General features: G+C 46.0%; 1 protein-coding gene across 6 annotated transcripts in view, besides 2 other annotated features; it reads right to left on the bottom strand.

Annotated features, from left to right (window-relative positions):
• Window positions 1-18,040, bottom strand: part of ST3GAL1 (ST3 beta-galactoside alpha-2,3-sialyltransferase 1) — a 117,040-nt gene that overhangs the window by 72,486 nt on the left and 26,514 nt on the right. The gene's annotated exons all lie outside the window — the stretch shown is intronic.
• Window positions 4,982-5,832: an enhancer, noted in NCBI's record as "NANOG-H3K27ac hESC enhancer chr8:134544558-134545408 (GRCh37/hg19 assembly coordinates)". NCBI's record gives its function as "activates a minimal SCP1, AML or CMV promoter by ChIP-STARR-seq in naive H9 embryonic stem cells {active_cell/tissue: H9 hESC(naive)}" and the evidence as "EXISTENCE:reporter gene assay evidence [ECO:0000049][PMID:30033119]".
• Window positions 17,396-17,565: an enhancer, noted in NCBI's record as "experimental_101271 CRE fragment used in MPRA reporter constructs". NCBI's record gives its function as "activates a minimal promoter by MPRAs in K562 erythroleukemia cells, with activity observed for both the introgressed and non-introgressed 8:134557057 variant alleles {active_cell/tissue: K562}" and the evidence as "EXISTENCE:reporter gene assay evidence [ECO:0000049][PMID:34662402]".

Below are 18,040 nucleotides of genomic sequence, written 5' to 3' on the forward strand. Positions count from 1 at the left end.
TTAGTTCTCTGTGCAACAGTGTCGGCATCGGGAGTAAAGGGGTTGAGGTGGTGGGGTGAGAAGTGTCCACTCTTGGTCCCTGCAAGTCTGAATCCTTTACACTGCATGTCAGCTTAGAATAATGACGGTTATGAGCAAGGAGCCTGGAATCAGATTGCCAGGTTCAAATCCCAACTTTGCCCTAAGCTACAGTGTGACGTCAGGCAAGCCACAGATCTGTGACTCAGTTTACCCTGTGTAAAATGAGGATAATGATAATATTCACAACCTAGGTTGTCATGACAATTAAATGACATCATGTGCGTGCAACCAAAATAGCATTTGGCTCATCCTAGGCACGGGAGAACTATATGCCAGGACTCAGCCCATGGCTCACGCAGAGCTGGAGAAGATCTGGGGGAAGGAAAAACAGCTTGCTTGCTGGGCGGTCCCAGACTGCAAGGTCTCCACCTACCCCAGCTCGCATCATAACTCCTTGAAGTCAATCCAGATGGGCTCTGGCCACCCCAGGGGACTGAGCCCATTCCCATCGAGAGCTCATTAAAATTACCCAGAAATGGGCTGGGCGTGGTGGCTCACGCCTATAATCCCACCACTTTGGGAGGCCAAAGTGGGCAGATCGAAGTCAAGAGATTGAGAGTATCCTGGCCAACATGGTGAAACCTCATCTCTACTGAAAAAAAAAAAAAAAATTAGCTGGGTGTGGTGGCGCACACCTGTAGTAGCAGCTACTTGGGAGGCTGAAGCAGAAGAATTGCTTGAACCCGGGAGGCGGAGGTTGCAGTAAGCCAAGGTCACACCACTGCACTCCAGCCTGGTGACAGAGCGAGACTCTGTCTCAAATAAAAGAAAAAAAAAATTACCCAGAAATGATGCACTTGGAGAAACCTATTTAGTTTCACTCCTAGGGCCCCCAGAGACCACACCAAGCCCCTTGCCAGCATTTTGTGCCTGCAGGGAAGGAGCAGGACCTAGCCTAGATTGCTAAGCTCAGTACCTACAGAATTTCCATTCACTTGCTCATTGATTTATTCACATATCCTGCATGCCTGTCCTGTGTCAGGCACTGTGCTAGGCATTGAGGGCACAATCCTGACTGCAGGACAGTCTGTGCCCTGGAAGAGTCTCTGTCCAGTGATGGGAACACTAGTAATTAGCAATTAACAAGTACATTGAGCTATACAAGCTGTTTCCCTCTACAGCCTACACTGAGTCAAGACCAGGGGTCATCGAATGACAGCCCACGGGCCAAACCTGGCCTTCCCACCTATTTTTGTAAATGAAGTTTTGTGGAACACAAATACATTCATTCATTTATGTTTTGTCTATGGCTGCTTTGTGCTACAACAGCAAATGTGAATAGTCATGAGAGATATGATTTGGCCCACAAAACCTAAAATAGTTACTGCCTGGCCCTTTACAGAAAACATTTGCTGCCCCTGGAGCTAGGGTATTAGGGCTCCAAGGGTAGGACCACATTTCCCCTCTCCACCCCAGGGCTTTGCATTCGCAGTCCAATGTGACCAGATGAAAACGTGTCACAAGACGGGGCATCAGCTTCCCAATGGAGATGGTCCTTCCCATGAGTTAGCAAGGGTCAGTAAATACACTTGCTGGATGAATAAACAGAAAAAATGGCATTTCTGGTAGAGGAATCAGCCTGTGCTAAGACACATGGGGCTCTGCAACTAACAAGCTAGTAGAGAAACACAGCACAGGTGGGACAAAGCGAACCAGTGGTGACCGAGCAGAGCATACACAGATTTGCAGACAGCTGGGCAGGGCCAGGCATACGGGGCTCGCGGGCCAACCCCTGTGGTGATGGGTCCTCCCACCAATGGGACCGGCTTTCTAGCCCTCTTGCCACAGTGCTTAAGGTGACGCAGATGGAGAACGACTAGGTCCTCGCCCTGTGGAATTTGGCATCTACTGGAGGAATATGTCAGGCAAATGCCAGACAGAAAGCGGGCCAGAGAGGATGCGGCAGTTCTGATGAAGAAGAGAGATGGGCCTTGGGAGCTTATAGGTCGAAGGTGCTGCTACCGAGCAAATGTACAAGGTCGTAAAACTCAGGACCTGCTGGCTGTCCCTTATGGTGGGATGGAAAATTGAGAGGCCCAGCTAACAGGGGAGGCAGACAGGCAGACAGATGAACTCCCACCTGAAGGTGAGGACGCCAGGCGAGAGCTAACATGGAATATCAAGGGACCCAGAGGAGGGGCTCCGGGCCCCATGGTGGGCTCTAGGGTAGATGGCCAGAGAAGCCTAGGAAGTCAGCAACAGGAAGTCACTGCAGTCCAGCAAGGGGCAGTTTTACCTTGGAGGCATGTCATGTCACCAAAGGTCAACAAGAACCCCTCTGGTCTGGCCACCCCCTTCTCATCTCATTTGCCCACTAGCCCCTCATGCACTGCCCAGGTTCCCAGACTCTCAGTTCCCTGACTCACCAGGCATAGCTTTGTAACCCCCATTTGAGGGCTGTCCCCCAGACACCCACGTGGACAAGGTTCTTGCCTTCCTCAAGTCTCTGCTCATCTTTCTCTTCTCAGTGTTGCTGACCCCGGGCCCCTCTGCTGCCAGCACTCCCCAGCCCCCTGCCCGCTCCTTTCTAGCACCTGTTCTCCTACACATCATGAAATCTCTTATTTGTTAACTTTGTTATTTATTAGAAGTCTCCTTGACTGAACTGTAGGTTTCGCAAGGAACGTTTGCTTGTGAGTTTATGGAAGTGTCCCCAGGGCTCTGAACCCTGCCCCGCCCTTGAAGGCATTCCACTGACATTTGATAATTGAATTAATGAATAAACTAGAGCAGGGGGGGTGACATGGTGGGTCTTGTCCTATTCAGAATGCCTTCCAGGTGAGCATCACGCTGAGGACCTGGACGCACAGCAGGCACTCAGAGGACAAGGAGCCAGTGTCCTGAGGCCTTCTTTTTTTTTTCTTTATTTTTATTTTTTTTTTTTGAGACAGAGTTTTGCTCTTGTGGCCCAGGCTAAAGTGCAATGACACCATCTCGGCTCACTGCAACCTCTGTCTCCCAAGTACAAGCAATTCTCCTGTCTCAGCCTCCCAAGTAGTTTGGATTAAAGGCATGTGCCACCACGCTGAGTTAATATTTTTTGTATTTAGTAGAGATGGGGTTTAACCATGTTTGTCAGGCTGGTTGTGAACTCCTGACCTCAGGTGATCCACTCGCCTCGGCCTCCCAAAGTGCTGGGATTACAGACATGTGCCACCGTGCCCAGTCCCTGATGCCTTCTTAGCATACTCCAATGCTGTGCTCAGATCACTGACACCAAGGCTTTTGTTGTTGTTGTTCTTGAACCTATGAGAGTTTTCAAAGGCTAAGGGAATGCACATGCCTTTGTAAAGCTCATATGGAGAGCTTCCAGACAAAAAGCATTTCGGGAAAAGCATCCTGTGTGACAGGAGGAGCAGCCTGGGGTTTCTGGGGACTTCCTGGGGCCAGCATCGTGGGTTCCTTCTTTGATTTCTGTGGTGCCTGGAGGCAGATGTTCTCCATCAGGCAGCTAAATGAAGACAGTTGCTTCATCAGCAAAGGGAGGGAAAGAAGATGAGGAGTGTGGTCAGGAGTTGTCAGAAAGCCCTTAATCCGGAGCTCCGGTGACACAAAGAGGTGAGGGCAGGGGTCCGCAGACTCCTGGAGCCCTAACAGCTGACCTGTATCTGGACTCCCACATTTATGATTATGCTCTGCAGCACCCCAAACACAGCAGTGGCTGTCCCCCGCTCTTAGTAGGGGATAGAAAAGCTGCCTTAAGAAATAGCTCTTACACATTCATATTTTTAGAAATAATGTGAAATGGGTGACTTTTGCTATAGTAACATTTGTGATTTTTCAATTGGTTTTAGTATATGTAATATATATATAGCATAAATATACATGACTATATAGTACACACACATATATACTCACACATATAGTATATATACATTATGTATGTGTACATATAAACACATGTATGTATATAGTATGTATGTGATATGTGTGTGTAGCTATAGATACATAACCTGTATAGCGTTTAATATGTACCTGGCTGTTCTAAGAGCTTTAAAATATTAACTAATGTAACTCTTACAATAATCCTACGAGTAGCTACTATTATCCCACTTTACAGAGGAAGTGAGGTGCAGGGAAGTGAAATCTCTTGTCTATGGTAACCCAGTGGGCTGCAAGTGGATCCAGGATGCAGTTCCTCCCTGCCACCTCCCTGACCCCAGGCAGCCTGCTTAAAAAGCCATGTTCTTCTCCAGTGAAAACACATGGACACAGGGAGGGGAACAACACACACCAGGGCCAGTCAGGGGGTGAGGGGAGGGAGAGCATTAGGACAAATAGCTAATGCCTGCTTAAAACCTAGATGATGGGTTGACAGGTGCAGCAAACCACCATGGCACATGTATACCTATGGAACACACCCACACGTTCTGCACTTGTATCCCGAAACTTAAAAACAGAAAAAAAAAAAAAAAAAAAAAAAAGCCATGTTCTTAACCACTGTACTGCGGTTCGTAAAACTACGTTTCAGGGATCTCTGAGTCATTAAGATACTTCTGGGGAATCCATGATATCAAAGCCATTTTCATAATGAGACGAAGGCTTCATTTACTCTTTCACACTCATTCTGTCCTGCATGTACAGTAGAGCTCCCCAGAGACAAATGACATCTGATTTCACGAAAGACTGAATACAGAGGCAGAGATGAAAACCCAGCTGTTTTCCTTTAAGCCAGATAGTAAAGGGATCTGTAAAATAATACCACTCTTCTAATTTTGTTGTTGTTGTTGTTTGTTTGGGTAAGTAGTTATTTTTTCATGAAAATGTCATTTATGGGATGGGCACAGTGGCTTACACCTGTAATCCCAGAATTCTGGGAGGCTGCGGCGGGTGGATCACCTGAGGTCAGGAGTTCGAGACCAGCCTGGCCAACATGGTGAAACCCCATCTCTACTAAAAATACAAAAATTAGCCGGGTGCAGTGGCATGCACCTGTAATCCCAGCTATGGCAGGAGAATCGCTTGTATCTGGGAGGCGGAGGTTGCAGTGAGCCGAGATTGCACCACTGCACTCCAGCCTGGGTAACAGAGCGAGACTCTGTCTCAAAAAAAAAAGTCATTTATGTTACCATATGATAGATTCTTTATTGTGATTTTTCAAATGAAGTACTAAATAAATATTGAAATAATTCCTCAATTTTAATATAGAATATGATACATATTAACAGATAAAAGCCATGACATCAAAAGCTACTTGGGACCAATCAATAGTAATAGAGTGAAAGGCTCATCCTCGAGAGCAAAAACTTTGGGGCGGCTCGTGTGATGCCATACTCTGCTGTTCCTCAGTACCGAATGTCCAGTGGTGTTCTGAGGAGGACACGTTTAGCAATTTGCCAGAACTGTTCTTCCTGCCCTTGTGCAGGATCTATAGCATCCTTAGCCCTCACCTACAAAATGCCAGAAGAGTCCGCAGGTGCTGGGACAGCCACATGCTCCTCCCCAGCGTGGAGGGGGTGATAGTTTGGGGACGAGAAGCATAGCTTTGGAGGGCTAACTTCTGCTTCACTCCTTCTCTCACTCTTTCCCATATTCATTCGTTGAAACCACTAAGGTACTAATTAAGTGCCGGGCTGGAGCTGAAGGAGTAGGTATAAATTAATTAGTCTTTCTTGACTACGTTTCCTTCAGAGGAATTACTCAGGGGCCATGGTTCTCTGAATTTCCGCTGGATGCTGGAATTCCTGGAATCCCTGGATTTCCATGGAATGTGGGCCTTCTAGTCCCCCAGCGCCCCCGCAGTCCAATGGCACTCTGAATTCCGTGGAGACCCATAGAATTCCAAACCTCAGAGTTGTGTAAAATTCCTTAAGTCTGTGGTACCCTGGGGACCAGAGAGAATGACGTGCAGGTGTTGCAGACACCCAGGATCTCATGATCCTTGTCTGTGCTATTTTTCCCCGTGAATTACCAACACCCTAATTTTTCAAATGGACTTGAGGTGAGTCATGGGCTCTAGTGCAGGCATGGGCTCTCGAGCAGCCTACACACAGGTGTGAGAGCTCACCCCGCTCCCCACCAACTCACCGCACATTAGTCCCCAAGAAATGAGAGCCATGAGAATGGGCTTTCTCTCCTATCAGGAGCGAGTTCCTCTGTCTGAACTTCCTGTCTTTTCATCCGTGTGTCCATCCCTCCCAGCTCCCCATTCCTCCCTGACTTGCACTCTGTGCCCCATTGGAGGCAGATCCACTTGCCCGTCAAACAATCCCACTGTGGCTGTATCCTGACCTTTGTACTGCTCCCTGTCCCAGCCTCAATAGGGATCCCCTTCCAGCTCTTGTTCCCCCATCTCCATCTCCCTTCCACTCCTAATTTCACAGCAAAGTCACAATGGGTAACAGGTGGCAAGAACCTTCAAAGCGTTTTCAGTATCTCTCTCCTGGGAACTTATCGAAAGGACATAGTTCAAATGACAGAAAATGCTAAAGGCAACACGGTGGTGTTTGTGATAATGATGATGATGACATACGTTAATATGCAAATAAGCAGCAACAGGGAGAGATGAGTACTTAAGTATGGCACTTCCTCTTGATGAAATATTAACACAATACAACCATATAGCATAATTGTTTGGGGCAATTCCAGAACACTCCCTGAGTGACCTCTCCTCCACCAAAGTACTGGGGATTCAATGGGGAAAAAAACGGGCCCAACCCCCAAGGAGGTTCCAGTTAGATGACTGACCATCTGTCGAGATTGCAAAGTGCAGAAAGCCAATTCCATTCTATTCAACCAACAGAATAAGCAAATCATCTCCCCAGACCCAAAGGCCTTCCCTTCGTCCTCTTCTTCTGACACCCAATCCTCCAGCACAAAGGATATTTTTAGAGACTGAGAAAGTGTTTACATGAATGCCATTTCTTCATTGCCATTGAGCAAAATGGTGAAGTGACTTCCCCACACAGGCATTGGACATATATTATATAATATTATATGTTATAATATATATATGGACATATATATATTATAGGACATGGCACAAATGCTTGCCAAATGGATTTCAGACACACTGGCTTTGGGTTCACTCGTGTCTCCTTCCTCCTTCACCCCATGCCATCCGTATCAGAAAGGGCCGTGGGATATTTTGGCAGGGTGTGTTTGCCTAAGTTAATTGGAGGCAGACAGGGCTGCAAACAGCAGGTATTCTGTATTCTGGCCTGCATGGAACGCAGATAAGGCGTGGATAGCAAAGTGAAAGGACCAGGAGCCCACAGACATGGGGTCCGCCCATTTCCAGTTCTCCAAAGGCTGGAGGCAAGTCGGAGGAGCTAAAGAAGAGAGAATTAATCCCCAAGGGGGCCCAGGCATGTGTCCAGGCCAGTAGCAAGGCCAGCTAGCCAGATATCATGTCTATCAAACCAGCAGCTGGGCTGGCTCTGTGCGGCTGACACAAATGGACACACTGCAACAGCCTTCAGAGCACCAGTCTCGGTGCTGGTGAGGGAAAGGCATGCCTGGCCCACAGGGTGCTCTGTGAGTCCAATGAAGAATAAAGCATAGGCTACCACCGCTCAAGGGGCTCCCAGTGCAGCAGGGGAAAAGGAAAGGTACATGAGCCCTTCCTCACAAGACAGTGTGGTCAGTGAAAGGAAGGCAGACACAGGCAGGGGTTTGAGGGCTGACGAGGGAGAAGCCCTGCAGCTGAGGATGGAGTGGAAAGCGGGAGGAGGAGTCCCGGAAGAGACAACGCTAAAGCTGAGGGCTCCCCAGGAAAGCAAGAGAAGGGCATTCCAGGTAGAGAAGAGCACATGCAAACCTCACAGACCAAGTCCTGCAGACATGGCAGGTACTACATTTGGGGTGATGAGCCCAGGCTAGAGCTACATTATATCTATATCTATATCCATAGCCACATCTTTAGCTTCATATTCTCTATAGATCTATAGAATACTGGCTGTTAGAGACTGCTGTGTCTAGCAGGGTTCTAAGCACTTTCACATACATAGGCATATTCACTTAATCAGACTTCACAGGTGCTGCATTATTTTTTTGTTGTTATTGTCTTTACTAATCGTGGCAACCTTGTGTTGGGCAAGTCTATTGGTGCCATTTTTCCAACAGTATGTGCTCATTCCATTGGCATTTTTTAGCAAGAAAGTATTTTTTAATTTTTTTTTTTAGAAACAAGGTCTCGCTCTGTCAAGTTCTGTTCATAGCTCCCTGCAGCCTTGAACTTCTGGCCTCAGTTTCCCAAGTGACTAGGACTATAGATGCACATGCACCATTCCCGGCTAATGTTTTCACTTTTTTTGGTAGGGGGTGAATCTCGCTATGTTGCCCAAGCTGGTTTGGAACTCCTGGCCTCAAGCAATCTGCCCGCCCCAGCCTCCCAAAGTGCTAGGAGCATAAGCCAGCATGGCTTTAATTAAAAAATACAAAAAAGTATTTTTTAATTAAGATATGTACATTGTTGTTTTAGACATAATGCTACTGCACACTTCATAGACTACAGTACAGTATAGTATAAATACAACTTTTGTGTGCACTGGGAAACCAAAATAATTTGTATGACTTGCTCTACTGCAATCCTCACTTTATTGCAGTGGCCTGGAACCAAGCCTGAAATATCTCCACATCTGTATTAACTCATTCAATCCTGGAGTTTGGTGCTGTTGTTATCCGTTATGTCCATTTTGCAGATGAGGAAACTGAGATCAAGAGAAGATACTGTATCCAAGGTGGCAAAAGAAGCAGAAGTGTGATTTGAACCCGGGTCATCTGTATTCAGGGTTCACACTGTGAAGATGACTCTGTGATTAGCAGAAGGTGGGGTGGGGTGGGACAGGGAGAGCACACATGAGGCTGGGGGTCTTGATGGGGCCCTGAACGTGGTGAGCCTTGTCCTTTCTGCAATGTGGACTCTGTTCCAGGATAGTAAGGGTCATGGGCATTAAAAGGAGGAAGGACATATTCGGATGCCCTTCAGGAACAAAGATTATCTGTAAATGCCCAAATGCTTATAGCTGGGCATGACTAGAATAAAAATTAGTCTTTTGAGAAGGGATCAATCTGTAGGTTGATTTCTGGAAGCACATAGAAAATTTCCATCCTTCTGATGGCCCCTCTCTTCTTGGGACATTGGCATTGTAAAGGCCTCTGGGCCTGGCCACAGTGGTTCACCATGGAAAGCCCCTTCTTTCTGGGAAGAATGTCTCTGCTGCAGCCAGACGGTCTTCCAAGCCGGCAAGGTGGGAGGCCTGGCTCCTGTTCCTGCAGCTCACTCATGTCCTGCCACAGGCCCATTTATCACGGGCTCAGTGAGGAACCACAGGGATAAATGCACCTGTCAATTACTCAGCCTTTACGATGGGCCAGACACCGTACCCAGCTTTTTGAGTCCTCGTGTCATTTGAGTCCTCACAGAACTCTCCCAAGTGGGTACTATTACTACTTCCTTTTTTACAGATGGGGAAACCAAGTCTCAGAAAGTGTTATTCCCACCTATTTCCTAAAATCTCTGAAACCCTGCCTATCCTCTGCTCTCACACCCGAACGGTCAACACAGAAGACTTCTGTGCCCACACACCATGCACCAGCTGGGTGTCCTCCAATTTAATTCTGACACCATCTACCTGGAGACAGGGTCAGTTCCCACAGGTTGAGAGATCAGTGCCCCAGACTGCCCCCAACTCCTACCCCAAACACAAGCCTCAAGTCCGGGTCTCTGCAACTTCTGACCAACTGGCTTCAAATTGGGTTCCCATGACCCCCTTTCTGGGCTCAATTAATTTGCTGGAAGGGCTCACAGAACTCAGGAAAACATATTTACTGGTGCAAAGGATACAGATAGAGAGATGCGTGGGGGGAGGTATGGGGGAAGGGGCATGCTACCCTCCAGGAACCTCCAGTGCTCAGCTATCTGGAAGCTCTTCCAACCCAGTCTTCTGGGGTTTTATGGAAGCTTCCTGACATCAGCATTCCTTCTCCCAGGGTACAGGGTAGGACCCTCTCTGGGGAGGATCTCAAGACCCACAGTCAGAAAGTCAGGGAAAGATTAGAGTCCTGTGTTAGGGCAGGGGAAGGAAGGCAGGAGAAAGTTGGAGACATCCTGTGTCCTGAGGCCTGCCACACCCAATATTATCACAAAAGGCTGTAACAAGGGCTACAAAAGAATGAGCCAGGAACTGTGGAGGAAATCCAATAATCATCCTAACACTACACTGCCTAAGCTCCAAGGGCTGGAGAAAAGCATCCAGGAGGGGTGCCAGGCTTGCAGAACGCCAGGCCCATTCTCTGGAACCCTCTACAGCTTGCACATCCCTGCAGCATCCATCTCCCCTGGGGGCCGGGATTGGCCCCACTGAATCAAGAAAACAAGGCCCTGCATGAATGAAGGTCACGAGGCTGGCAAGCAGCAGAGGCATCTGGAATCTTGTTCCTACAAACACAGGGCCCGGCTGTCTTGGATCTTTGAGCACCCAGGGAGGGCACTTCCTGTTGCCGGCTGCCATGGTTTCAGCTGTCCGGTGCCTGACCTTTCTAGAAGATGGTAATGATGAGAGTTGTGACTGCAAAGCCTCTAGCCAACAACTGAGAAGAGCTACACTCTGAGGTCTGGAAGGTCTGTGCGTCTTCTGCTCCATTTTACACATGAGACAATAGGGGCAGGGAGGGGCTGCATTTGAGGGCACTGCGGAACCATGGAGGGCTTCCGAAAGATCTCTCTAGTGAAAGCTGGAGGAAGAAAGTATAGGCAGAAGGAGCAAACAGCAGGCCAGACTAAGTTCCATGACAGCAGAAACCATGTTTTTGTTTTTTGCTGCTGTATCCGAAGTACCCAGCATGTCAAAGGCATTGAATTAAAACCTACTGAATGGCCGGGCATGGTGGCTCATGTCTGTAATCCCATCACTTTGGGAGGCCAAGGTGGGGGGATCACCTGAGGTCAGGAGTTCGAGATCGGCCTGGCCAACATGGCGAAACCCCATCTCTACTACAAATATAAAAATTAGCCAGGTGTGGTGGTGGGAGCCTGTAATCCCAACTACTTGGGAGGCTGAGGCAGGAGAATCACTTGAACCCAGAAGGCGGAGGTTGCAGTGAGCTGAGATTGCACCATTGCTCTCCAGCCTGGGCGACAGAGCGAGACTCCATCTCAAAAAATAAATAAATAAATAAATAAAACCTATTGAATGCATGTGTGAGTGAGTCTGTTACAGCTGCCCAGGAGAGGATGCAAAAGGCTGAGGGAATCCAAGCACTGTTAGCACTTGGCATTCCTTTCTCTGTGCATATGTAATTAGACATCCCACCTTCACACCAAAAATTAGAGCATTCCACCATGCTGGTTAAAAACTCCTTGTGTGGCTCAAATGCATATTATTCCATTCTGCGGCTGTACTGGATGTAGCTCATCTCCTAATCTTGACATTGCAGGTATTTCCAGCATATTGCTTAAAAGCAGTAGGCAGTGAGGATGATGGGGAGGCAGCAAGGGGACTGGGCTCTGGAGACGCTGTAAGCCTTCACAGCGCAGCCCCCCAACTTATTAGCTGTGTGACTGTTAAGTTACTTAACCAGTCTGTGCCTGGGTTTCATCATCCGTAAAAAAGGGAAATGACAGCAGCTGGCTGCCAGGGAGGCTGTGGGGTGAAATCTATGTGTGTGGGGTTGTTACAAAGGCGTAAGGGCCACAGCCAGCCCTGCGAGAGTGCTCACAAACACTCCCCCAGCCCCAGGACTCCTGAGCTCAGCTGATTCCTGAGAATGCAGTCCCTGATGTGGGATCACAGGTCAGCCCGCAGAACTTCAAGGAAAGTGCCTTCGAAAATCCCAGCAGAACCAAGAAGAACGAAGTTCTTTCGCCCTGTTCCCTGAGCCCAAGCACAAGGACTCAGAGGATCCAGAAGGCAAGTAAATTCACTGTACCATGGAGCACCAGGATTCCCACCGCCAACTCCCCTTGTGGCCAGCTCACCCGGCAGGCAGCAGGTAAGAGAAGGCACTCTCGCTGACACTGCAGCTCACAAAGCGGGCAAAGAACCAGAGCACGTCCAGGAAGCTGACGCTCCAGCCCCTGGGCTGCACCCCACTTATCTAGGGCTTGCATTTTATTTCAAAGTCATAACTTTGCATTATTTTTCCTTAAAGAAAACTCCCAAATTGTATAAGCTTCAGGACCCAAAGAACCAGAACTGCACCTAAACATACCACCGATTTATTAATTGATCTTTTTCTCCCATTAAATTATTATCATCGGCCAGTTATGGTGGCTCATACCTGAAATCCCAACGCTTTAGGAGGCTGAGGCTGGGGAATTGCTTGAGCCCAGTAGTTCCAGACCAGCCTGAGTGGCACAGCAAAACACCATCTCTATAAAAAATATAAAAATTAGCCAGGCATGGTGGCGCACGCTCGTATTCCAGCAACTCAGGAGGCTGAGGCAGGAGGATCGCTTGAGCCTGGAAGGTCAAGGCTGCAGTGAGTTGTGATGGCACAACTGCACTCCAGCCTGGGCACCAGAGTGAGACTCTGTCTCAAAATAAATAAGTAAATAAAACAAGGAAACAAATAAGTTATTAACATCTTGAGGACATAGCTCTCATCTTATTCTGTTTTACCTCCAGTGCTCAGCCAAGTGCCAGTGAGCTGGAAGGCACTCAGTAAGTATTTACTAAATGACTGAATGAACAAGAAGAAAGGAAAAACAGCCTGAATGAGAAGCTCCCCCGCTCTTCATTTCACTCACGCCACTTGGATCCATCCTCAAAATCACCCTCTACACATTAATCCGCTAATCCTTCTCTCCCCATCAGCCTTTCAGATACTCCAGAGTGCTCCCAAGTCTCCTCTCCCCTCCCACCCCAAACAACCCCTGTTTCTGCCACTGCTGCTCTTAAAGGTTATCAGCAACGGAAATTCCAACAGCTCCTCGCTGCTGCCCATCGGAATATTGAACGACTGCCAGGTTGTCCTCTTATCTAGTCAGAGTGCCCTGGCCTGCATTCGGTCTCTGGGCCAGCTGATAACACATTTTTGTTGTTGGAGGAAATGCTTTAGCTCCAACGGGGAGTGTCCACCCATGTGACACTGCCCAGAAGGAAAACAGGCCTGGTTCTCTGAGGGGAAATGACAGCAGCCACAGCCCCCTGAAGAAGACTGAATCAGTCCCTGTGTATCCTTTGATCAACAGCCCCTGCTCTCCTTCTCACCTCCCTATTTGCTCTTTCCTGTCCGTCATGTGACTTTGTTCTAGAAACATTTCCTGGAAGAGACACTCCTTGACCACCACACCCATGCTATGCCCTGCCCTGGGACCCCCTGCCCCTGCCCACACCATATATATATATACAGACATATATATATATAGACATATATATATATATAGACATATATATATATATAGACATATATATATAGAGACATATATATATATAGACATATATATAGAGAGACATATATATATAGACATATATATAGAGAGACATATATATAGAGACATATATATAGAGACATATATATAGAGACATATATATAGACATATATATAGACATATATATAGACATATATATATAGACATATATAGACATATATATAGACATATATATAGACATATATATGCAGACATATATATAGACATATATATATAGACATATATATGCAGACATATATATAGACATATATAGACATATATATAGACATATATATATAGACATATATATAGACATATATATATAAACATATATATATATATATATATATATAGAGAGAGAGAGAGAGAGAGAGAGAGAGAGAGACTGTGTGTCTCTCCCTCTTTCTCACCCCTAGCTAGGATCTTTGTCTGATTAGAGCAGTGCCTGGCACAGAAGAAGCTCAGAAATGTTTGTCAATGCCTGCCTGAAACCAACATTTATCTGGTGCACATTCTGCATGTTTGCTGGGAGCTGGAGACACAAATGTGTTTAAGTTAAGGCCTCCACACTGAAGCAGCTCTCCCAGGAAAGCACTCTGCAAGAGAACAAATGCTCCCTCTGCAGAGACGCCTGGTTCTGTAATCACACCCTCAACCTGATCAAGGTCTTCACAAGGACAGGACAGCAGTCCTGCATCCCCCACAGAAACTCTCACTCCCACATGCAACTCATACACCACCACGTGCGTCTACACACACCTCCTAACAGGACTCCATCTGAGAGATGCAGACCATATACACGGTCCACATGTTTTGGCTGGCCTACACTGTGACGGCCAGACACTGCTGTCAGCAGGGACAAATGCTTCCCCAGTCTTCTGCTCTAGTTTCTGTCCTGAGAGAGGTTTCTCCCTAGGCCTTTTGATCAAAAGCCGAGGGACAAACAGGTGCTTGCTATAAGCTTGCTGCTTTACCAGCTGTATAATCTGCACAAGTTAATTAGCTTTTCAGAGTCTTGGTTTGCTCATCTGTACTTGGGCCACCGAGTTGATGTCAGAAGTAACAGCAAGGGAAAGGGTCTGAAACTGGGCCTGAACACGGTTTAATAAATGCAGTTGGTGGCGGCGTTGATAGTGAGAGTAGAATGACTGTTCAGCATCATTCAGATAGACATGAATTTCCAGAATGTCCTAGCATAATTAGTATGAACCTATGGTGATTTTAATAGATAGATAGGTCAATTTGAAAATGATCTGAATGATGTGTGGATATACATGTGGATGTGATTATGTATGTATATAAATGTGGGTATCTGTGTGATACACCACACACACACACACACACCCACGCACACACAGACACACACATCCCAGTTATGTCTGCTCAGAGGGCCTAGAGGCAATGCTACCCCAGAAACAGTGAGCACACCTAGTGGCCAGATCTTGGTTTCTAAACACCATTTTCCATGGAAAGGAACCAGGGCTCCTATGTTGATTCCACCACTGAGGTGAGGAGAGTAGAAGATGAGGCTAGAATACCTTGCTATGACAACAAGGCAGCAAGTGCTCAAATGACGATGGAGAAATGTTAGAGACACAGGAGCCAGGCCCTAGTGGACAGATTTGGGGCAACGTAAATGTCAAAATAACTAATGATCACAAAAGACTGCAACCTATTGAATAAAGTTAAAATCTGTGAGTCCACACTGATATAAAGAAAGGAAGGGCTGGGCATGGTGGCTTACGCCTGTATTCCCAGAACTTTGGGAGGCCAAGGCAGGCAGATCACTTGAGGTCAAGAGCTGGAGACCAGCCTGGCCAACATGATGAAACCCCATCTCTACTAAAAGTACAAAAATTAGCTGGGCATGGTCGTACATGCCCATAATCCCAGATACTCAGGAGGCTGAGGCAGGAAAACTGCTTGAACCTGGGAGACAGAGGTTGCAGTGGGCAAAGATCAAGATTGCACCACTGCATTCCAGCCTGGGTGAAAGTAACTCCTCCATCTCAAAAAAAAAAAAAAAAAAAAAAGATGAACAGAGGAAGAAAATTTCTTCTTTATAGTAGGAAACCAACTAATAAATGAAAAAGAACCAGCAAAATTTAAAAAATCACCATTTGGCAACTATGATAATAATAAATCTATTCAGGCAAGAATCATCAAAAGATGCTAAAACTAATGACTGATAGACTGAGGACTAATCAGAAATCTACACAATCCCGGAAGTTCTCCCCATGAGATGCTTATTAATTGCAAAGGTGAAACAATAACTTTGCAGTGGAGACACCTGGAAGACACCACCTTAACTGAGAGCTCCAAGCTAACATCACCAGTAATGGGAGACAGCCACACCAGTGCCTCTTGATACAATGCACTGAAAAGGACACATCAGCTCTGGGCTAGTCCTGCCAACCTAATCAGGAGGAAACATCAGAAAAGCCAAAATTGAGTGCATTCTATCAAATAACTGGCCTGAACTTGTCAAAAAGGTTAACGTGCTGAAATACAAGATTAAGAAAGTTTTCCAAGAAAGACACATGCCAACTGGCTTTTCTTTTGCCTTGAAGGAATTTAGCAGGGGCAAGTGATGAAATCTGAATGAGAAATCAGAAGGTTAGATAATAGTCAAATTAATGTTAAGTTTCTGACTTAGAAAGTTGTGTTCTAAGATGCAAGTTTCTGATTTCAGGAAAAAATATAGAGAAAAAAGAAAAAATGAACATAATAAAATGCGAACATTTGAAAACCTGGACGAAGGAGGTCCAGGAATTTGTTGGCTGTTCTTATAACTTTTCTATAAATTTGCATTTATATAAAAATAAAATAATTGAAAAAAATTAAAAATGGAAACGAATGCTCTGGTTTCATGAGATTGAGAAAAAAATCAATATATTACTTAGTGCATTGTATGTGCCAATAATTTAAAGCTATAATAATTATTAGTAGTAATAATAATTATCAGTAGAACATGCACCTGGCACATAATAAGCTGGGAATGGACAAAAAATATTATCACTGTTAACATCATCATCATCATCATCATCATCATCATTCTGGATATGCTTGATTGTAAGAAAGAACTAAAAATTTAATACTACTATTTGTGTTACTTATAATTACTTCATATCTGCGTTAAACTCCATTGTTTGAAGGTTTGTTATAGAAATGCCTGCTTAAAATGCATACAGCACTCCTCTGTAATGGTGAGGTGCTTGAAGACCAACCAAAAGAAAGAGGCAGGAGGCCATTTTCAAATCTAGATGTGCAGAATACATATCAATTGGATCTTTTCTCATCAGTGGAGTCTCTGCTTTGTTCTTGCTTGTGCTTGGGTAACCCAACGATAAGAAAGCCCAACTTCTAAATGCCAAACCTGGGGCCTTTGCCCAGACCTGTAGGCCATCTAGAGTCTCTTCTCTGTTCCTTCTTGGGTCCCTTCCATACAAACTGTGCATCTCAATGATCAGCCCTTGTTATTCCCACTTGCACTGGCTTATGCACCAAGCAGAACCTCCTGCCATGCCCCCAGTCTTGTCCCATAAGATGGTGAGCTAGCTCCAGGTCCAAGGCTCTTCCCAACCTGTCTATCGTATAGAACTGGCTGTGTTCAGCACAATTCTGAGATGTGGTATGTTCCCAAGCATCATTACTTTGTTCAACATGTTCTTTCAAAGTAAACCTATGACCATAACCAGGAATCACATGGTCTTTTGTCTCCATTCTTCCTCATTCTTCTAAGACTCACACATGCCACATCTTCAGCTCATTTTCTTCCTCTCCTTGTTTCTTATCGCTCTTGCCCATATATCTACCCCTTGGGAACACAGAAGCGATTGCTTCTTCCCCTTTAGAGGAGGCCTCACACGGCCCCTGACCTACCTGTGACACCAGAAGGGCTCAAGCTCACATCCATATCTACTTGCATAAATAAAACTAATAAACCCCATGGCCCAAGTGGATTTGTTTTACATGGAGTCACATACAGAGACCACAAGATGGCTCCCAAAGAAATTTTAAAAGTTACTCCATTCTTATACTAGAGGGAGAGAGTGAGACAGTGTGCACGACAGAGAGAGAGTCCTTGCCAATAATCATATAAAAAACAGCTATACACACTCACAGACATCAGCCTTCCTTCTTCTTCTGCAGTGATGGCAATCATGCCCAAGCTGGGTTAGAGACCAGCAGAGTGAAGTGACATATCCAGGGTGATCTCAATTTTTCCCAAGCTAACTCTGCGCTGATAAAAATGTCCTCTCTCTGCACTATCCATGGGTACCCATAAGCAACATGTGGCTACTAAGCACATGAACTGTGATGTGACTGAGGCCTGAATTTTTCGTATTATTTCATTTTAATTAAAATTTCATTATCCCCATAAGAAGTGGTTCTGTGTGGACAGCTCAGCTGTAGACCAGAGGTTGCAACACCTTTTCTGTTAAGGACCAGGGAACAAATATGTCAGGCTTTGCAGCCACACGGTCTCTATGGTAATGACTCAACTGGGCTGCTGCAGTGTGAAAACAGCCATACATGACACCTGAACAAATGAGCATGGTGGGGCGCCAGCAAAGCTTTATTTACAAAGGCAGACTGGGCCAG

This window comes from Homo sapiens, chromosome 8, assembly GCF_000001405.40.
Source record: "Homo sapiens chromosome 8, GRCh38.p14 Primary Assembly".
NCBI lineage: Eukaryota > Metazoa > Chordata > Mammalia > Primates > Hominidae > Homo > Homo sapiens.